The following is a 23,805-nucleotide window of genomic DNA, read 5'->3' on the forward strand; positions in this document are numbered from 1 at the left end:
TTTTGGAGACCTTTCCACATTTTATAGAAAAAAACATAATTTATTAAGCCACTTCCCTATTAATACCAATTTAAGTTGTTTTCAGATGTTTGCAGTGAATATCAATTTACATATATTATTTCACAGTTGAATGAAGCTATATGTATGTTCCTAGAAATTTAGCTCTTGGGCCAAAGGGATATGCATTTTTAATTTTGATAGGTGTTGACAAATTGCTTTTCTAAGTTGTACCAAATCTCCCCACTATTGAATCATGCATTGGATTAGAGTCTTCCCTTGTTATCCGTGTGAATTGGTTTCAGAGCCCTTGTGGATACCAAAATCCATGAATGATCAAGTCCCTTGTATAAAATGCCCTAGTATTTGCATATAACCCATGCACATCCTCCCTTACACTCTGAATCATCTCTAGATTATGTATAACATCTAATACAATGTAAAACACAATATAAGCAGTTGTTATACTTTATTGGTTTTTTAGATGTACTATTTTTTATTGTGTTTTTTTTTTATGCTTTTTTTCCAAATATTTTTGATCTGATGTTAATTGTATCCACAGATGTGGAGCCTGCACATAAGAAGGGCTGACCATATCTGATAATTTGGGCTTTGTCAGACACTTTTACCAAAACAGTATAATATCAAAATTTTTAATCCTTGTCTTTGATAGATTAAAAAGACATAGTGATTCCTTGTTGTTTTAATTTGTATTTTTCTTACTTTGAATGAGATTGATAATTTTCTTATTATTTGGTGATAGTGGACAATTTTTTGCCACGCAGAAATATTTTATTTTTACGTGATCAAATCTATCAACCTTTCTGTTGATGACTTCGAGAATTTGTTATTATTAGAGCGCTCTCCTACTCCAAGATTATGAAAAACATTTTCTCTTTGGTTTCTTTTGGTAGTTTTGTGCCTTTATTTTTGTGTGTTGAGGCCTCTGATCCATCTGGAATTTGTCATATGTTATGAGATAAGAAACATGCCATGATATTTTAAAGCTGGCAAAACAGTAGTCCCACAACAATTTGTTGAATGATTCATCTTCCCCCACAGTTTTGATATATCATTGGCATTATATACTAATCTCTGGACTTCCTAGTCTTCTCTATAGATCCATTTTTAAAAATCTTTCTATGCATACTAAATTGTTTTAATCAGTGGAACTTTATAAAATATTTTAACATGTGGAGGAATGGTCCCCATTTATTTTTTCTTTTTCGGAATTTGCTTGGCTATTCTTCTCTTTCCTGTTTAAATTTGAGAATAAGTTTATGTTACTTACAAAATAAGGTTGACGTGGCTCTGTTTCTTCCTTCTTGCTCTGCATGGAGTTCAGAAATCTCTTTGTGAATATTTAACATTCTCCTCAAGTCTCATCATGTTTTCCAGTCAACTCCCAGATAATTTGTCTTTTTTTTTTTTACTTTTATTTTAGATTCAAGGGTACATGTGCAGGTTTGTTATATAGGTAAACTCATGTCATGGGGGTTTGTTGTACAGATTTTTTCATCACCCAGGTATTAAGCCTAGTACCCAATAGTTATTTTTTTTCTACTCCACATCCTCCTCCTACCCTCCACCCTCAAGTAGACCCCAGTGTCTTGTTCCCTTCTTTGTGTTCATGAGTTCTTATCATTTAGCTCTCACTTGTAAGTGAGAACATGTGGTATTGGGTTTTCTGTTCCTGAGTTAGTTTGCTAAGGATAATGGACTCCAGCTCCATCGTCATCCCTGCAAAGGACATGATCTCATTCTTTTTTTATGGCTACATAGTATTCCATGGCGTATATGTGCCACATTTTCTTTATTCAATCTGTCATTGATGGGCATTTAGGTTGATTCCATGCCTTTGCCATTGTGAATAGTGCTGCAGTTAACATTTGTGTGTATGTGTCTTTATGATAGAATGAATTATATTCTATCTATATATATTATATTATATCTATATGTATAGATATCCATACATATTATATATGTATATAGATATCTATACATATAGATATATTCTATCTATATATTATAGTCTATCTATATATTATATTCTATATTCTGTATTATATATATGGGATTGCTGGGTCAAATGGTAGTTTCATTTTTAGCTCTTTGAGGAATCACCATACTGCTTTCCATAATGGTTGAACTAATTTACACTCCCACCAACAGTGTATAAGTGTTCCCTTTTTTGTGCAACCTCGTGAGCACGTGTTGTTTACTTTTTATTAACAGCCATTCTGACTTGTGTGGTATCTCACTGTGGTTTTGATGTGCATTTCTCTAATGATCACTGATATTGAGCATTTTTTCATATCCTTGTTGGCCACATGTATGTCTTCTTTTGAAAAATGTCTGTTCATGTCCTTTGCCCACTTCTTAATGGGGTTGTTTGTTTTTCTCTTGTAAATTTGTTTAAGTTCCTTATAGATGCTAGATATTATACCTTTGTCAAATGCCTAGTTCACAGATATTTCCTCCTGTTCTGTAGGTTGCCTGTTTACTGATCTTTGATTTTTGAATCTCTCTTGTATTTATTTGTATGTTACCTTTTCAATGATAGCATTATCAGATTTAGGTCAGAATAGAACTAATGTCTTTATAGAATATCTAGAAATGGGTCAATAGGTCATTATCTTGTATACTTTAACAACAGACTCAATTAGAAAGCTATACCTGAGAGTTTACACACTCCTGAAAATGTAAAAATTAGATTAAATACTAATTTTAAATAAATAATAACTAAAGTATAAATGCATTCAAACCAGTTATCCTTTTTTAAAATTTAATTGACAAGTAATAATTATATATATTTATGAGGTACAATGTGGTGCTATGATACACACACGTATATCATAGAATCATTAAATCAGGCAAATTAACATATCTATTATTTCACACACTTATTTCTTTGTGATGATACACTTAAAACTCCTTCAGCAAATTCTGAAATATAAAATACGTTATTATTAACTATAGTCACTGTGCTGTGCCATTCTGATCGCTAAAACTTATTCCTCCTAACTGAAACTTTGAACCTTTTGACTGACATCTTCTCTTTCCCCATCCACCCCCCACCCTCCCACCTCTGGCAACAATCTTCTACTCTCTACTTCTATACATTCAACTTTTTAAGATTCCACACATAAGTGAGTGAGACCATGCAGTACTTGTCTTTCTGCGCCTGACTTATTTCACTTAGCATAATGTTCTCCAGATTCATCCATGTTGTCAAGTGACAGAATTTCTTTCATTTTTAAGGCTGAATAGTATTCTGCTGTATGTATATACATTTCCTTTATCCTTTCATCCATCGATGGGCACTTAGGTTGATTTCATATCTTAGCTATTGTGAATAATGCTACAGTAAACATGGGAGTGACATATACCTTTGACATACTAATTTCAATACTCTTGTATATATATCCAGACTTGGAATTGCTGGATCACGTGGTAATTATATTTTTAGTGTTTTGAGGAACTTTCACATGGTTTTTCAAAATGGCTGCACTAATTTGCATTCCCACCAACAGTGTCCAAGGGCTCCCTTTTCTCTACATCTTCACCAACACTTATCTTTTGTCTTCTTGATAATAGCTATTCTAACAGGTGTGAGGTGATGTCTCACTGCGGTTTTAATTTGCATTTCCCTGATGGTTAGTGATTTTGAGCATTTTTTTTGTCTATCTGTTGGCCATTTGTATGTATTTTCTCCACCCATAATCCAATAATTTTTATTCTAGCAACACAAAACAATTCAACATTAGGCAAACTAATGTGTTTGTCTTTTTTGGATAAATGTCTGTTCAGGTCCTTTGCCCATTTTTAATCAGATTTTTTTTTCTTAATATTGAATAGTTTGAGTTCTTTATATACTTTAGACATTAACCCCTTATCAAATATATTGATTTCAAATATATTCTTCCATTACACAGATTGTTTTTTAATTCTGTTGATTATTTCCTTGGCTATGCAGTAGGCTTTTCATTTGATGTCATCTCATTTGTCTATTTTGTCTTTAGGCAACTGGTGATCGTATACAAAAAATCATTGCCCAGACCAATGTCATGGATCTTTTCCTCAGTGTTTTCTTCTAATTATTTTATAGTTTCAGGTCTTAGGTTTAAGTCTTTAACTCACTCTGTGTTGACTTTTGTATATGAGGTGAGATAAGGGTCCAATTTTATTCTTCTGTATTTTGGTATCAGTTTCCTCAGCACCACTTATGAAGATACTGCATTTCCTTATTGTATGTTCTTGTCTTCTTTGTCAAAAATCAATTGACTATAAATTGGTTGGCTTATTCCTAGGCTGTCTGTTCTGTTCCATTGGTTGGTGTGTCTATTTTATGTTAGTATCATGCTATTTTGATTATTATAACCTTGTAATATATTTTGAAATCAGGTAGTGTGATACCTCTAGCTTTGTTCTTTTGGATCAAGACTGCTTTGACTATTCAGAGTCTTTTGTGATTCCATACACATTTTAGAGTTTTTAGAGTTTTTTTTTCTCTTTCTGTGAAGAATGCCATTGGAATTATAGTAGCAATTGCCTTGACTCTGTAGATTGTTTTGGGTGGTATAGAAATTATAACTATGTTAATTATTCCAATCCATGAACACTGGATATCTTTCCATTTATTTGTCTTTTCTTCAGTTTCTTTCATCAATATTTTATAGTTTTCAACATACAGATTTTTCACCTTCCTGGTTAAATGTACTTCTAAGCATTTTAATTTTTGATGCTATTGTAAATGGGATTGTTTTTTAAAATATTTTTCAAATAGTTTGTTTTTAGCATGCAGAAATGTTACTAATGTTTATATTGATTTTATGTCCTGCAACTTAACTGAATTATTTATCAGTTCTAACGTTTTTTTTTTTGTTGGAGTCTTTAGTATTTTCTATATATAAGATCAAGTCATCAACAGAAAGAATTTCACTTCTTCCTTTCCTATTTGGATACCTTTTATTTCTTTCAATTTACTTATTTAAGGAAAAAGCTTAGGGAGCAACTAACAAAATGCTGCTGAGAACTCTGGATAGTATAGTAAGATGACTAAAGAGAGTGCTTGTGGTGGACATTAGAATGATTGTTAGGAAAAAATCAGTCAGGAAAACAGAACTTTCTATAATCCCAAATTAGCCTACAGTTATTGGTTGGAAATGACCATTTAAAAGAAATACATTTTATATACAATGTACATAGCATCAAAATAACTCCGTATGGGAATTATCCAAAACAATTATTGTATGCACCATTTTTTAAAAACTACTTTTACTTGTTCTAAATTAGGTTAGAGCATTAAGAATTTTAATTTGATCAGCATCTACAGACTAACAAAGAGATAAATAAATATGAGAATTATAAGCTCAGTTTCTCAAGCTGAGTCATATTACATTAACATTACTTACGTATATCTAATTTTTATGAACCATGCATAAAGGTAGGAGTTTTATTTTTGCAAGTACAGTAATGGACACTTTACTATTTTGATATATGTTTGTAAAAGATCTTAAGAAACATTTAGTTTTCCCTCCCTAGTAGAACTAAATAATAAGATATTCTGGGTTTTATTTTTATGTAATAGAATAAAATAAATTTATATGTTTTCTTACAATAAATACATTAACCACAAGGAGAATTGGAAGCTGCCAGAATAAGGTATTAATATGTCCACAAATGTTTATGCTCTTCTTAAAGAAGACTGTTTGCTTTTGCCTTGAAAAATGTATTTTTCGCTGCTTTTTTCCAGCATTGTAACTTAATTTGCTGCACACTGTATTTTAAAAAGCCAATTCAGATAAGATGTTTAGTGTCATCATTTAGACATGCCACTTTCTCCTGCTACAAGGAATTTAAGTGACAGCAATATATGTTGAACATTTTCTGAAAACACACTTTTTCTTTTAATATATACACAAACTCAATTAGCGTCCAGGTCAGTCAGTGGAAAGGCATTTATAGAATCAATCATTTTGGGTTAAGAAGTAGACACCCTGCAAGCTTACTAATGGAATGGAAATAATGCCTGGAACCTCTCCAAACAGTAACAGTCTCAATGGAGCAATTAAATATGTATGAAGAATGTTTGCTGAGAAGTTCGAACACATCAACCTGGGGTTTATATTTGTGGTTTAATTTATTCAGCACCTTCCAGTGAGCCGATGCTTGATGGTCTAAAAACATTGCTGGGCCCTGCATCTGTTGCATCCTGCACAGAGTTTTGAGTGACAGTCACTCAGAAGCAGTGGTTATTTTTAATCATCTCAAGAAGTACAGGCAGAGAGGGGAGAATGGGAGTTTTTGATTTGCATTTAGATACCCAACACTGCCTCATTAATAAATTTGGCACTCTTAAGAGTATGTCAGGCAATCTTCAGCCCATTTAATAGAAAGTATTGGCATAGGCAAAACTCCTATTTCTGCTCACAGCAGTGGTATTTAGGCCTTCAAATTACAGTTCACTTGTATGATTGCTGCAATCTGTATCTTCAGATCATTACTTTTCTCTCTCAAAAGCGAAGTCTGTATGGTACTAACTAGCTGAACTTTATACTATTAGGAAATAATGGTGCTACTGTGTTATAATACCACCGATTAAATTATGGAAAAATTTCAGGGGGAGATAGCAACAGGATGAGACGGCAACATTTTCTTTTATGCTCAAGCTTTGTTTTTAAATGCCAGAGAAACAAGGATATATTTTTTCTTGTTTTATTTTTAAATTTATAATTGATACAACAATTGTACATATTTATGGTGTGCAATGTTATATTTCAGTGCATTTATACATCATATTATGATCAATTGGAGTATTTACCATATCCATCACTTTAAACATTTATCCTTTCTTTGTGGTGACAACATTCAAAATCTTCTAAGTATCCTGAAATATACATTACACTGTTTTTTGCTAAATGGCAAACAGATGTATGAAACCATGTTCAGCATCACTAATCACCAGAGCAGCGCAAACCTTGACCTCTTAATCGGCCCTTTATCATCACCTATGCCCCAACCCCATGCCAGGGGGCAGTATTTCACAGGAAGGAACTTTCAGAGGAGCCAACTCTGCCTGGACCAGTCGTTGAAGAGGTTAGTCCTGGGGAGAGGGTGCTGTGATAGCCTGGGGTCTGACACTCACCAGAGGGTTGGGCTGGCAGCAGAATGCTCTCTCTCCCACCGCCTTGCCTGTGGAACCTCTTATGCCAGGCTTGTCTGGAGGAAATGAGTTCTAGCTTCCATGTGGGGCTTGAGGGCAAGGGAAAGGTAGGGTTTGAGATGAGAATGAGGACTTGGGTTATGCTAACAGCTTCCAGTTTGGGTCTCAGGTTCTGACTCAGAAGCCAAGTATGAGGATATAGCCCCCAGTTGGGCGGGGAGACAGGATCACAGGGTTTGGGATGGGTGGACTCCTCTCAATCGTGTGGTTCAGGGAACAAACCCTGAGCAACTAGACCCAGATGGGTGAATTTCTGGAGAATTTGATGCTATTGCCATCACTATCAGCCCCAAGGCTTCCATTATACCCAGTCTTGGGGAGGGTGCACCATTTACATAGACCAAACATGAATGATGCTTCCTGGAGTTGGCTAATTGACCGATCTGTACCCTGAACTTTCCTTCCTATGGCAGACATTGCTCATCAAACACAGTTTATGTTCAGTTTAGATAAGGACTAGAGTCCTTCTCCACATGGGGCTGCAGACAAGCCCTGCCAATTCCTCAAGATCTCCAGCTCAAGAGTAAGCGGTTGGCCATCACTCTCTAATGAACCTTGATGAGCCCCCAGGAAACACAGAGGCACCTCCAGTAGCCCTGGATGATGCAGACAGCATTGAGGATGTGACATTAGCGCTGGCAGATGTGGCACATGTGGGCTAGGGACTGCGGTGTGACTGCTGCCCACTCCTCCCGTGAGAAGTCCTCCAATGCTGCCTGCCCACTGCCTCATCTCCAGAATCCTGGACAGTATCAGCCACCATCAGCACTGAATGATCCAGGTGCTGAGGGCTGTGTTCCACAGTGCCTGATGCACCAGGGTGCCCCAACACCAGGCTTGGATCTTGATGACTGCCATATCTTTGTCAGAGAGCTTCTTTTGGTTTTCTGGGGGTTTTCCAAATTTCTCATTGGCATTAGCCACTGTTTGTGTCTTAACCAGAGCCAGAGTTTTGGCCTCTGCCTTCAACTTTGAGGTTAATGGTCCCGAAGAAAAATGGGCCAGCATGTCCTTCTGCTCAGGCTCATCTTTTGTGTGTGTGGGTTTATTCATTTTTTTAGGCTGCTTCCTATTAGTTCTGTTCTGCAAGTTGTACAGGAAGCATGGTGCTGACATCTGCACAGTTTCTGAAGAGGCCTCAAGGACCCTTTACTCATGGCAGAAGGTGAAGCGGAGCAGGCATCTCACATAGCAGAGCAGGAGCAAGAGAGGAAATAAAGATATTTAATGTAGGGAAAGGTTGGGAGGGTTTTGTGTGTGTGTGTGTGTTTCCAGGGGTTTGTATTCAAATGTATGTGGTATACAACTACTAATATCTTGTCGAAGTTACATGTTTATTATTCTAGGCTGAGGTCTGCAGGAGATAGAATTAGCAAACAACTAGAATCCATACAACGGGTAAAATTCCAAATATGGTCAAGATTTTGAGAGGGTTCCATGGATAGGAAGAATCAATATCATGAAAATGGATATACTCTCCAAAGTAATTTATAGATTCAATGCTACTGCCATCCAAACTACCATTGAAATTCTTCACAGAATTAGAAAAAACTACGTTAAATTTCATATGGAACCAAAAAAGAGCCTGTGTAGCCAACACAATCCTAAGCAAAAAGAACAAAGCTGGAGGCATCACACTACCTGGCTTCAAACTATACTACAAGGCTATAGTAACTAAAACACCGTGGTACTGGTACCAAAAGAAACATATAGATCAATGGAACTGAACAGAGACCTCAGAAGTAACACTACACATCTACAACCATCTGATCTTCAACAAACCATGTAAAAACAAGCAATGGGGAAAGGATTCTCTATTTAATAAATGGTGCTGGGTAAACTGGCTAGCCATATGCAGAAAACAGAAACTGGACCCATTCCTTACACCTTATACAAAAATTAACTCAAGATGGATTAAAGACTTAATTGTAGGACTTAAAACCATAAAAACCCTAGAAGAAAACCTAGGCAATACGATTCAGGACATGGGCATGGGCAAAGACTTCATGACTAAAATACCAAAAGCAATTGCAATAAAATCCAAAATTCACAAATGGGATCTAATTAAACTAAAGAACTTCTGCACAGCAAATGAAACTATCATCAGAGTGAACAGACAACCTACAGAATGGGAGAAAATTTTTGCAGTCTACCCATCTGACAAAGGTTCAATATTCAGAAACTACAAGGAACTTAAACAAATTTACAGGAAAAAAATAAACCCATCAAAAAGTGGGCAAAGGATATGAACAGACACTTCTCAAAAGAAGACATTTATGTGGCCAACAAACATATGAAAAAAGCTCAGCATCACTAATCATTAGAGAAATGCGAATCAAAACCACAGTGAAATACCAGTTCGCACCAGTCACAATGGCTATTATAAAAAAGTCAGGAAACGGTAGATACTGGCGAGGCTGTGGAGAAATAGGAACGCTTTTACACTGCTGATGGGAATGTAAATTAGTTCAACCATTGTGGAATACAATGTGGCAATTCCTCAAGGATCTAGAACCAGAAATACCATTTGACCCAGCAATCCCATTACTGGGTATATACCCAGAGGAATATAAATCATTCTACTATAAAGACACATGCACACATATGTTTATTGCAGCAGTATTTACAATAGCAAAGACTTGGAACCAACCCAAATGCCCATCAATGATAGACTGGATAAAGAAAATGTGGTACATATACACCATGGAATACTATGCAGCCATGAAAAGGAATGAGATCATGTCCTTTGCAGGGATGTGGATGAAGCTGGAAGCCATCATTCTCAGCAAACTAACGCAGGAACAGAAAACCAAACACTGCATGTTCTTGCTCCTAAGTGGGAGTTGAACAATGAGAACACATGGACACAGAGGGGAACAACACACACTGAGGCCAGTGTGGGCAGTGTGGGGCGAGGGGAGGGATAGCATTAGGACAAATAGTTAATGCATGCGGGGCTTAAAACCTGGATGACAGGTTGATAGGTGCAGCAAACCACCATGGCACATGTATACCTATGTAACAAACCTACACGTTCTGCACTTGTATCCCGGATCTTAAAGTAAAATAAAATAAAAATAAAAATAAAGATTTTGAGAGGGTTCTTGGTCACATGATTGCTCTGGTGCACGTCTTGACTCAGCATTACATATTGTCTTGTCCAAGATGCCGTGGTGTCATAGGGTTGAGGGCTGATACTCCAGAGTGAATGACACCTCTGATGGATGCACTACAAAGCCCAGGGATTCACCTTTGAATTAGATTTACAACATTATTAAAGGAAAAAGCTGAAGTATCATCATAATTTAATGGGATATAAAATGAAAACAGGTCTTCTAAAATGGAAACTTGAAATCCCAGGGAGGCATTTAAAATGTGGTTACTGACAGATCTGTCATGCCAATTTATGAGATGTGAAAGCTTGTTGCTTTCAAAGCCTCTTTCAGGACACTGGTATTTAAGGCCTCTAAGGCCATCGGTTGGATGCTTTTTTTATATTGATGAAATCCTAAGGGTAGCTTATAAGATGATAGATTTAGCTTCACTGAGAACTGGCATTTAATCATCTGTGATAGTAACATGAGGCCAAGTGTAGTATGACCACTGCCCTACGTCACTAAGGACACATTTTACAGCTCATTACTTTATATGTAAGATGGATTTAAAAAAAGTATATATTGGATTAATTTATAACCCAAACCACAGAATAATTGGAAATATCAAATAACCTTATTAGCTGACACTGAATCTACCAACAGTCCTAACTAGTCTTTGAGTTAGTAACTCTATACCCTGGGTGGTCAAAGAAAATATTTAAAGTCATTTATTTACCTCTACATATGTCAAACAAAAATTTCAGAGGCCACAAAGAAATAAGCAACAAACAAAAACATTCAGCATTAGCTTCTTAAAATGTGGATTGGATCAGATCACTCTTAGAAACTGTTACTATCTTAGTGGTAACTTCCTACCCAGAGATCACCCCACCCCTCCTTCACTACTCCCTTACTGCAGATTCCTTACTTACAGGCGAAAAAAGAAAAAAATTGCGTACTTCTTAGCGTAATGTTCAAGGCTTTACAGCATCTAGCTCATCCTTCATTGCTAGCCTTTTTTCGTCTCTTGACATATCAGTGCTTCAATTTATCTACAGTCTTCTCTCAGTTTCACAAGCTTGCTGCATGCTTCGTCTCTGGTGACTCTGATCATGCTCTACCCTTGCCTACAAGGCCTTTCTCCTTTTTTTCCACCTATTAAACTTTATCCATATCCAAAGATTCAGCCTGTGGCCAGGCCCAGTGGCTCATACCTGTAATCCCAGCACTTTGGGAGGCCGAGGTAGGCGGATCACTTAAGTCCAGAGTTCGAGACCATCCTGGGCAACAAAGCAAAACCCCGTCCTATTAAAAATACAAAAATTAGCCAGGTGTGGCAGCACACACTTGTTATCCCTGCTGCTTAGGAGGCTGAGGCAGGAGAATCGCTTGAACTTGGGAGGTGGAGGTTGCAGTGAGCTGAGATCACATCGCTGCACTCCAACATGGGTCACAGAGTGAGACTCTGTCTCAAAAACAAACAAACAAACAAACAAAAAACAAAAAGCAAAGATTCAGCTTGAATGCCATTTTTTGTGAAGTCTGCTCCCAATCCCTATTATGTAATCAGGGCTCCATCCTCTTCATTTGCACATCCCTTGGTTAAGTCTTATAGAATAGTTGTCTAGGATTTGGCTTTGATGTTTACACAGGTTTGATTTATACTGGGATGGAATCCCTTTATCAGTTACATAACCTGGAGCACCTTATTGAACCCTCCAAGCTTCAGTTGTTTTCCCCACAGGACTGTGAAAAGTATCTAGCGGGATATTTTTGACACAGAGGAGGCATTAAAGGGGCAGTATGGACATGTCAGTCCCACTCCTGTCCAGGAAAAATTTCACTACAGAAAAAATGAGGATAATAAAGCTTCTGAAGTAAAATTTAATGGTTGTGGTTATTAATTATTTAGCAAAGAAAAGAAGAAGAGGTCGGAAAAAGAGGAGGAACAGAAAGGAGAAAGAGGAGAAAAAAAGGAAAAAAGCAACCCTCTAACTAAGAAATATTACTGCTGTGTGAAACACAAATGTCTATAAACCAAGTGAATTTTTGGACTGTGGTTTAAAATGATATGTTTCTAACATTATCTTTCTACTTTATGTGTAATCACCTGTCAAAACACAGGAAAAGAATAACTAATTAAACATTAATGAATAGGGGGAGTGTGTGTGGGAGGGAGCACATATTTAACCTGTTAGATTTATTTTTTAAATTATATGATCAAAAATTAAAACATTATGTTACTGGTCCAAGAATCAAGAGACAGGATAAATACTGCTAAAATTTTCACCATATTTGAAGGGATGTTCAGGATGATGAACTTAAAATGTTGTCTTTTATGATTTATGCAAAGTTCAGTCTATCCTAAGGGAACACCTTAAAAGGAGATCAGTAATCCACTCAAAATCCTAAAGCTGAGGTCGACAGAGGGTAAGAAAAGACCCGATATGAGCCTCCCCAAATTGAAAGCCACAGGGCAGAGATGCTGAATTTCAGTTGTGGGTTATAAGGAGCTCCCTTTTCCCACAGCCAAATCTAGAGATTAGAATCCAGGATTGCTTGATTGGGTCCATTAACTCAGCAGGTGAGCTAGTGCTCTCTAGGTTCCTTGTGTGCTTAGTTTATGCCATTTTCACATCATAGTGAAGCTGACATTATTGTTATCCATGCTTTACACTTAGAAAATGTGGGCATACAGAGATCATTTGTTCAAGGTGATGCACTAGTAAGTGGTAAAGCCAGTTATAAATCCAATGTGACTTCAGAACTTGCATAAAAGCTACTGTGCTATACTGATAATTCCTACACACACACACACACACACACACACACACACACACACACACCTTCTCTCTCTCAAAGAAACATTACAAAACTGCAGAGAACATTTCTATCCTCAGTAGAGAAACTTGGAAAATCATCTATTTGGAAAAAAGTGAAGTTTGATCATCATTTTTTTTCCCCTTCACCTCATTTGACCAAAAAAAAAAAAAAAAACATAGAAGCAGGCTAACCAACTCAATGACAACAATAACCACTGTGAAGCAAAAAATAAAAAATAAATATAGATTACAATGGCATATGTGTGAGGAGTTGAGAACTGTAAAAGATTTCTAAGCCTAAAAGGAAAAATCACCACAAGTAAAAAGATTTATATATTGAACTACATAAAATATATATATTCTTGACAGAAAATAGTTATCAACAAAATTGAAAATGACTTACATGCTAGAAAGTTGTTTTTAATTAGTATGAAGAGGATTAATAGTCTCAGTAGATGAGAATCAATCAATTAGAAGAACACTATGAAGTAGACAGTTTACAGAAAAATGCATAGAAATGACTTCTAAATATACAAAATAAAAACCTCATTATTGATAACACAAAATGAAATGAAAACTCTAAGTACCATTTTCATCTATCAAATTAGCCCAGATTTTTAAAAAGTTTTTACTAGAAAAGATAAAAGTAAACATTCTCATACTCTACTGCTAGAGTGTAATTTGAATCAACCTTTCAAAAAATAAATTTTATAATATGGAAAATATCCATAAAATAGTCATACCCTTGATTCAGTAATTATTCTGCTTCTAGGGGCGAGTCTTAAGAAAGTACCAGATATATATATATATATTTTTTATTATACTTTAAGTTTTAGGGTACATGTGCACAATGTGCAGGTTTGTTACATATGTATACATGTGCCATGTTGATGTGCTGCACCCATTAACTCGTCATTTAGCATTAGGTATATCTCCTAAAGCTATCCCTCCCCTCTCCCCCCACCCCACAACAGTACCCGGAGTGTGATGTTCCCCTTCCTGTGTCCATGTATTCTCATTGTTCAATTCCCACCTATGAGTGAGAACATGCGGTGTTTGGTTTTTTGTCCTTGCGATAGTTTGCTGAGAATGATGGTTTCCAGTTTCATCCATGTCCCTAAAAAGGACATGAACTGTTCATATTTTATGGCTGCATAGTATTCCATGGTGTATATATGCCACATTTTCTTAATCCAGTCTATCGTTGTTGGACATTTGGGTTGGTTCCAAGTCTTTGCTATTGTGAATAGTGCCACAATAAACATACGTGTGCATGTGTCTTTATAGCAGCATGATTTATAATCCTTTGGATATATACCCAGTAATGGGATGGCTGGGTGAAATGGTATTTCTAGTTCTAGATCCCTGAGGAATCACCACACTGACTTCCACAATGGTTGAACTAGTTTACAGTCTCAAACAAATTTACAAGAAAAAAACAAACAACCCCATCAAAAAGTGGGCAAAGGATATGAACAGACACTTCTCAAAAGAAGACATTTATGCAGCCAAAAAACACATGAAAAAATGCTCATCATCACTGGCCATCAGAGAAATGCAAATTGAAAGTACCAGATATTAACTAGGATTTATAATACTGACATATAACACTGACATATATGACATATAGTAACTAAATGTCTAATAACGAGTCCAAGTAAGTTAGATAAATTTATATCATGGAATATTACACAGCTGTGTAAGATAGCATGTTTGAATGATAGTGTGTTTGATTTTTCTTAAAAATATCCACAATGTAAGCAGTTAATTGTAAAAGCAGGATATAAACTTGGACATGGTAGGATCACAATTTGGTAACACAGACACATGCATACACATATACATGCATAGGTATAGAGAAAATACAGGAATAAAATACAGCCAAAGAATAACAAAATACTGGCAAAAAATCAACCACTGCATTACTGGAGGGATAATTTCATTTTCCGCTATACCCTTTTCTGTGTTTTTCTATTAGCATTTAAAAAATATTTTTTAACATGGAAAATATGTTTTGGAAAACAATCCTCATATTTCAGAAAGAGAATGTCATTACTGGACACTGATGATAACTATAGTATTGTTGTTCAGTGAAGCAAATTATTAATAACCTGACTCAGAAAGCCAATCCAGACCATTCCTCATATCCTCAAGCAGATTTTATATTAAATTATTTATATAAGTCATTTATAACTCATATTACTAAAAACACTAGTTAGGAACATCATTTGTGGTCAGCATTTTTGTAAAACTTTAAATTAAAAATAAACATAAACACATATGTACACACTATGTGCATACATATACACATACATACCCACAGAATAAGGATATATATAAATTTATGTATACTTAAATTTATATAAAAATTTTATATTTACACATATGTGCATATAAAACAATGTATGTATGTTGAAAGGAACAAGACTTTTGCCTGCTTTTTTATTGCATTGGTCAGATATATGGAATCTCATTATTATATTTAAACTACTTACTATTGAATGTGGACCCAAAATGTCATGTTTTAACCTTTTAAATATGAAGGAAGGAAGAAATATGCAATCACATATTTCAATAAAGTTAAATTCCATTTCAGGTTTCATCTCATTATTTATAATTTGATCAGATTCACAAGATGAAATTACTCTTATAAATAATACATGGATATTTCATGTGAATTTTGATGTAGATTTATACAATGTGGAATTTTGCTGCTATAGATTACTATGCATTCTTGAGTTTTATGATGAAAGATATATCCAGTAGTAATATAATGCAATAGGAATTGATATGATGTCAGAAACCCCAAAAAGTGTTTGCAGATGCAATTAAAATGTATAAAATAACATGGGCTTTCATCTTACTTGATTTCTGTTTCTCAGAATAGCATTATTTAGGATAATCAAAGAAACGTTTGTTTTAAAAAATCAATACCCTTGAAGCATCATCATTATTTTTAAATATGTGCAATTGTTTCTACAGGTTATTGATTTTACCTGTCTCAGTATATAATGATTGTTTGGTTTTAAGTCTTTCCTAAAAGGGTTTGTAACTTGGCCATTATTTACACATATATGTTCTATGGTTACTGCCTTCTCTTTTCCTGGTCTGTGACTGGGTCCCTGCTGACCCTGACAAATGACTTTTTTATTCCTCCTAGTTAACCCTTCTTCACATAAAGGAAGAAAGGATTTATGAAATATCTATTGCATACTAGATGTTTATTTGTATGTGACTTGATCGAATCCTCAAATAGCCTATATGCTAGGTCATTGGAGAACACATCACTCAAGCAAAGAAGAAAGAGGCAGAGAGAAGGAGAAGTTGCACACCCATGGGAAGAGTTTTCCTCTTACGGTGGTTTAGAAGTAGTCCTGCTGCCCTGGGCTCAATATTATGTGCTTGAGCGGAGCCGTAGGCATCTGCACTCCTATCCATTTGCTGATTCTTCTCACCCTTTTGACACGTTGACTCTCTCTCTATATATAGGTGTCCACTCCATTTGTTGTTTGTCTTTACCATTCTGTTTTGGGATTGGAGCTCTGTCTCGAATCCAGATCTTGACACAATGTCTAGTCCTTTTAGCCATCTCCAGTAGAGGAAGGACCTTGCCTGTCATATCCTCAACTACTTGCTAGGGTTGTGTCTTCAAAGGACTGGTAGCTTGAAACAATAGTTGCTACTAATATCTGATTTCGAGTTTCTCCTCTACATAAAACCTTTTCTCCTGACCAGAATTTTCACTGGTATTGGGGCAAATTGCCATATAGATTTCATTGTAAATCACTACCTTTGGCATCCTAAAGCCAAATCAACTACTCCAACATAGATCCCACTTGACACCCATGTCTCTGGTGCTGCACCCTGAATAAAACACATTATACAGGAGACACAGCTTATTTTACATTTTCCTCTCCGAACAAAAATATATCATATGCAATAAGGAGGAAATTTATGAGAAAATATGGTGTTTCTATTTTTAAATAAAGTATATATTATGCACATATGTTTTTGGATTTTGCCAGAATTATTTTTGACATAATCTTTCTGAACTCATTGCTATTAAGTCATAACTATGTTAATTTTAGTAGTATTCTTTAGAATAATGTTAATCCAGTATATTTAAAATAAATAGATTAGGAAACCTGGAGATTATTAATATTTATTACCTTTATGAGAAGACAGAACATAGTTTGAAAATTACCTTTTTCATAATAGAGATTTAATTATCTTTTCCCAAGGAATTTCTTTATCTTGGCTTAGCTTTGAATTCAACTCTGTAGCTACCAAAGCATTAGGTGGGCATTTATCAACAAAATGCATTTTTTATGTAATTTTTGATGCTAGATAGTACAAACCCCTCCAAAGCATAAATGACCTCCCTGTTCATTCTATTACATTCAAAAATGTTTTTATATATTTTTGACATTAGTTCCTCTTACCTCAGGTAATTACTGTCTATGTATAATGAGCAGCCGTGGCCTCATTGAGTAATGGCTGTTCTATTTCTTTCAAGAGTTTAAAAGACTTGTAGCTCATATGGCTGATTATGAAGTTTCATTCACTTATGGAAAACATTTTTTCTTCTTCCCTCATGACATATGGTGTGTATTCTAGAGAAATATTTTTAACATTAAAGCATCACCAGGAAAAAAAAGATTAGAGTGTTTTGACATTTCTGTTATTTAAATTCTTAACAGAAGAAAAATCAACCTTGTTAAATGAAAGAATCTATATTTATTCAAACTCTTTTGAAAAAATAATTAAAGATTGGTTCAAAACATTTGTAATTACATTTTATTTTGGAAAGCTTTTCACAATTCAATAGTCAGGGTTTCTTTTAAGTCATCTCAGTGGAGAATACAGCTATCCTTGAGAATCACATATAAACTTTACAGAATTAGCAAATGTGTAGTTGTGGCTGTGTCCAGAGACTGCTGGAACATTGAGATGAATATTGATGAATTCAGCCAGATGTTCATTAATGTTCATTTTCTAATACAGGAGCCATTAGCTACATATAGCTACTGAGCACTTGAAATTTGTCTGAATTGAGATGTGCTGTAAGCATAAAGTCACCATGGATGTCAAGAATTCATTAAGAAAAAATATAAAATATCAAATTCATAATTTTAAATTGATTTTATTGATTTGTGGCTTGTGTTGTATTTCTGCCTTTGTATACAAAACATTTGAGTAAAATATAAAAATGTACTTCACTTTTCATATTAGTGTTCTGTTATCCCTTTAGCATTTCCCATGTCATTGTTTCTTACTAAACTGCATAGGAGGTACAGCAGCTCCGCTAATGGAGTGAGCTCTCTTGGTATTGAGGTGGCCAGCATTATACTAAATGTTCCAGCTATATAGCAACCTACAATATGAGTCCCTACAATGTGCTGTGTGAATTATATAAATTATCTCACATAGTCTTCACCATACTCTATGATGTGGTTATTATAACTGCAGTTTTAAGATGAGGAAACTGAATCTCAGATGATTCAAAAACATGTTTAATATGATTATTACAAAGCTTACTAAAGGGACTGAGTCAGGATTCAAAGCAAAGTTTGTCAGTCTTTATGGTCTCACTGCGCAAATACTTTTCTTTCTATTTTAAGACTTTCCAGGAAATTCATGAAGATACGGACTTCTTTCAAGGAGTTATGTTAAATTGATCTTTGGGAATGATGATGGTCATTACGATAATTGTCGGTAAAAGTTACACAAGACTTCTCCAACCTTAGTAGGTAATTAAGTATGTTCCACAAGGAATAGTAAGTGATGGCATTCACTGAAATAGGAACTTTATCTAAATGTTTCCATGCATCCTTATTGTTATAATGAGTAAATAATAACAGTGGCCATATTAAAAATAGAATTACCCTTTTTGAATTAAAATTATGTATTTGAATTAGAAAAAAAGCATTTGAAACATGTATTTTTAAAAAGCAACAAGAACTCGTTATAAAATTATTTGTAACCTGGCCCACATTTAGCACTACTGCTATTTGATGAGTTGAAGAATGAAGGACATCAGTTTATGTAATGATTTTTAGTTAAGAACCAATCGTTTCTTATTTTAAAAACCGCCATGAAAAATTTTGGAGATTTATATGATATCTGAGAACATTTAGAACACCATGTGAAACCTCCCTTGACTAGGTTCTGCTAATTGGTTTCACTGGTCAGAATTGGCTGTGGACATTTTCCCTACTGCTCCCAGGCCAACGTAGGGACCGATGGTACAAGAAGCGTCTTTCCATGACACTTAGCTCTTCTGTCCAGAAGACCTGCCTTGGCCACTAAGGCCATTATTGCCACAGATATCTGCAGGTTAGTGAAAGGTGAGAAAGCATGTTCTTCAGCAATTTGAGTTACCACCGTATTTACACTGGTAATTTTTATGGTAATGAGATTGTGTCTTACAGACTCACTTGTGATTTTTTGACTTGCCCTCTGGCTAAGTGGAGTCTAAACCTTTCCTCATATGCTGCCTCGGCCATCAGGTGCACAAGTACAAAGACTCCTTTCATGATGAGAAGCTGTGTGATTTCAAATGAAATTGTACCTAAAGGATGCTGTAATTCATACTTACAAAGAAAAAGTGCTTACTAGTAAATAACTTTCCATTTTCTAATATCCTCTATTTTTAATCCATTGGTAATATCTATTATTAACCTCTATGGTAAATACAAAAACAAATAGAAACATACAGTATTTATTATTTGGTAATATAAGGGAAAATTGCTCTAGTCATAAAATTATTTTAAAGTTGGTTACTTTGGTTATCATTTGCCCCAGCATGTACTTCAGACTACATGAGTTTAGAAGGGAAAAACAAATATCTGTTTACGGATAGAGATTAGTTTTGTTTTGTCTTGTTTAAAACCATCCTCCACCCCTTCCCACCCCAGCTAGTTTCACAGTGGAAAACCATGTGCAAATCATAGATCCTGGCAGTGAGAGGAGAGGCAGATGGGCATAAATCTTGAGATTTAAGTATCTTAATCAGACTCCACAAGTAAAAAGAGAGACAAATTTTTTTAGCAAGCTGCTTTTAAAATATTCTATTTTGTAATTGTGAGTGGCACATTGAACTTTATATAGCATGTTTCTTGTATAATAATCTCTATTAACTGATAACTATGTCCTTTACAGGACATTATCCAATTATGTCTTGGATTTTTAAAATAGATTTTAAAATTGTGAGTATATACAAGTTACATTAATGCGTATTGGATCTTTGGTCCATCTTAAAACATTTTTTTAAAAAAATCAATTAAAAAATCAATAATGTCTATAAAACAGAAATTATTTATGGAGCAATCTTATAGGCACTTCACATGATTAACTCAGTAAAGAACTGAAGGGTGGCTTATCGCTATCTCAGATGAAGAAGCTAAGGCTCAGAAAAGGTAAATAGCTTGCTTTTATTATTGCTTAATCAGTAAATAGTAAAGATTCAAACACGACTCTGCCTAACTGGAAAACTAATGTTCTCACGTGCTATCTGATTTAAAATATCAAACTATAATGTGGAAAATGCAAAACAATTCTGAAATTTTGGTATTTATGAAATCAGTAGTCTGGATTTTTTTGCACAATGGATAAAAAGCTTTTTGATATTACTGAGGATTTGGGCTGTCTTGGTACTGCTTTGGCTTCAAGGTTTATATTTTAAAAAAACTTGATGCTACAGATTCTTATCAATAGTATCGCTATGGGGAGAAGTCATATTAAAAAAATAAAGCTTAAGGAAACAGTCCAATTTGAATAATAGGAACATAGATGGAAGGTACGATGGTGTTGAATAATCCTGCTGTTGCTATTATGACATTTCGCTTATAAAGAAAACCACAGTAATTTTCCCAGTTTAGTGGTAAATTGAGAAGTAGGAATCTCTGAGAAACCTTCACATGCGCAGCATTTTGGATGGTGTTTGGAACAAAGCATTGGAGTGAAATTCAATTAAAGCAAGCCAGGAAGCCCTTCTGAATGAAGTTCTGAACTAGCTTTTCCTTTACACCCTGCAAGATTCATCTTATTGTAATTCTCTATTGATTTGGGTATGAATTACAAGTTAATGACTTTTGTTCAAAGGTGGAGAATTACCTTGTTTAATGAAATGGAATGTAAACAGCCAATGTTTTTGCTATTAAAAGGAAATCCATGTGGAGTTTTTATAAAAGAAATACCTGTAAGGATTAATGTAGGTGTGAACCAGCTTCTCCAGAGACTTTCCTGAATATTTTATGCAAAAAGTAAGTCCTGCCTTTAAAATAAGGAGAAAAAAGTGTAAAAGGTTATGCTGACTATAGTCAATAGGCTAAAATTTTGATAGTACCACAAATTTTTCCATTTGTACACACACACTATGCGGTGTGTATGTACATGTGTGAATTCCAGTGTCTAGTATATACTATACTCATACATTGTTTAGTTTTAGGAAGCTATGTAATATAAATATAGCAAGAAAACTTTATTTTCCCTTGGCAGAAAGTAGAAAACTGAAGAGAGAGTTAAAACATGACCAAGGATCCTGTGGTTATTCTGGTAGAACCAGTAAAACAGAGAAGTCTGTTCATTCGTGTTGCTTCCACAAACCCACGTGTTTGATGGAAATGAAAGAGGTTATCTTGTCCAAACTATAAAAGTATAAAAGACCTTCATACTAAGATAGCCACCAGAGTAAAAAAGTTTCATGTGATTTGCTGTCATATAATTCTGTAGCAGTTAAATTAATGTGATCTACCATGATTTTCATTGCATGAGGTTCATTTACTTATTTATTTATTTTTGAGATGGAATCTCGCTCTGCATCCTGGGTTCAAGCGATTCTCCTGCCTCAGCCTCCTGAGTAGCTGGGATTACAGGTGCGTGCCACCACGCCCGGCTAATATTTTTGTATTTTTAGTAGAGATGGGGTTTCACCATGTTAGCCAAGATGGTCTCCATCTCCTGACTTCGTGATCCACCCGCCTCGGCCTCCCAAAGTGCTGGGATTACAGGCGTGAGCCACTGCGCCCCGCCGAGGTTCATTTTTAATATTGCTGTCTTACTAAAATGAAGCAGTTACTTTAAGAATGGAAACTAAGTAAGAAAAATTCTCACAACCAGACTTTGTTTTAATCTGTGCTCTATTTTTTATGCAATAATTCTTTATTGAAATTGTGCTTTTTATAAGGCTGTGACTTTTCTTTTGCTATGTCACAGACAGGCAATGACATTTATAAGTTAACACTTTAAATAGGCTGGTGTTTGAAATAGCATTTTCACTTTGAAAAGTTAATAATATCGTGAAATAAATTCTGTTGCTTTTATCTATAACAAAGTTTTCTCAGAAATCTGCTTCTCTGTGGTGTTTCTTTAATGTGGTCAAAAAACATATGAAAAAAAGCTCATCATCACTGGTCATTAGAGAAATGCAAATCAAAACCACAATGAGATACCATCTCACGCCAGTTAGAATGGTGATCATTAAAAAGTCAGGAAACTACAGATTCTGGGGAGAGGATGTGGAGAAATAGGAATGCTTTTACAGTGTTGGTGGGAGTATAAATTAGTTCAACCAGTGTGGTGATTCCTCAAGGATCTAGAATCAGAAATACCATTTGACCCAGCAATCCCATTACTGGGTATATACCCCAAGGATTATAAATCATTCTACCATAAAGACACAAGCACATGTATATTTATTGCAGCACTATTCACAATAGCAAAGACTTGGAACCAACCCAAATGCCCATCAGTGATAGACTGGTTCCTTACAGAATTGTTTTTAAAAAACGAAATAACTTCTTCATTTGTTATTTTCATCACCTTTAAAGCAAGATAATGCCACTTAGATAAGAGGGGTAATTAGCCATTTGATTGATCTGCCATAATAATGCTACACATTCTTTGGACTTATTTGTCATTATGCCTCTCATAAGAAAAGATAATGGAAGAACAGACCACTGTGCATGGAAAATATAAATATAAAATATACAGTCTCTTCACTTTGTAAGATAAAATAATCAAGAATACTTTTAGTTCATAATTTATTTCAGTGAAGGTGCATTTGTATCCTGGAGGATCATATTAATATTTTCAGAGCAATAGAATTGTGTGATGTTTTACAACAGTTCTACTCAATTAGAATCCCTGTTTTATGCTTTAAAATGTTGCTATGTCAGTTTCATGGCTTTCTAAAGACTTTAGAGTTCTCAGTATACCTACAAATAGCAATGACTGTCTACATATACAAAAGATTCAGTGAATATGGTAAAACTATAAGTTGATGAGTGTTTAGGAGATAACCTATTTTTTTCTGACAAGTTTGTTTTTCTGTCTATTTGATCATTGTTTTTCATCTTTGTTGTTTACCTGGATGATCTCCCACTAGCTGGAAATTCAAAAGCCATTTCTCAGTGAGCCCTCTCACTTCCTTGATTTTATAACTATTACTGAAGCTTCACCCTAAGACAGTTACTTTTCCCTCACCAAGCACAAATGTGAATGTGGTGTTGTACCTTCAGAATCCCCTATCAGCTATGCTAGTCCCCTCCATATTTGTTACCTTAACTCTGTGGCTCTCAGGACACTGGAGCCAGTGTTTCTGTGAGGTGGGTATTTGTGAAGGAATATGTAGACTGGAGAAGGCTACTCACAGATCCCTCAGATA

General features: G+C 35.1%; 1 protein-coding gene and 1 pseudogene across 10 annotated transcripts in view; one reads left to right on the plus strand and one right to left on the minus strand.

Moving 5' to 3' along the window:
- Positions 1 to 23,805, plus strand: part of TMEM117 (transmembrane protein 117) — a 603,307-nt gene that overhangs the window by 444,913 nt on the left and 134,589 nt on the right. The window lies entirely within an intron of this gene.
- On the minus strand, positions 7,667 to 8,299 carry LOC100294713 (IQ motif containing F1 pseudogene; annotated as a pseudogene).

This window comes from Homo sapiens, chromosome 12 (assembly GCF_000001405.40).
Source record: "Homo sapiens chromosome 12, GRCh38.p14 Primary Assembly".
NCBI classification, from domain to species: Eukaryota; Metazoa; Chordata; class Mammalia; order Primates; family Hominidae; genus Homo; species Homo sapiens.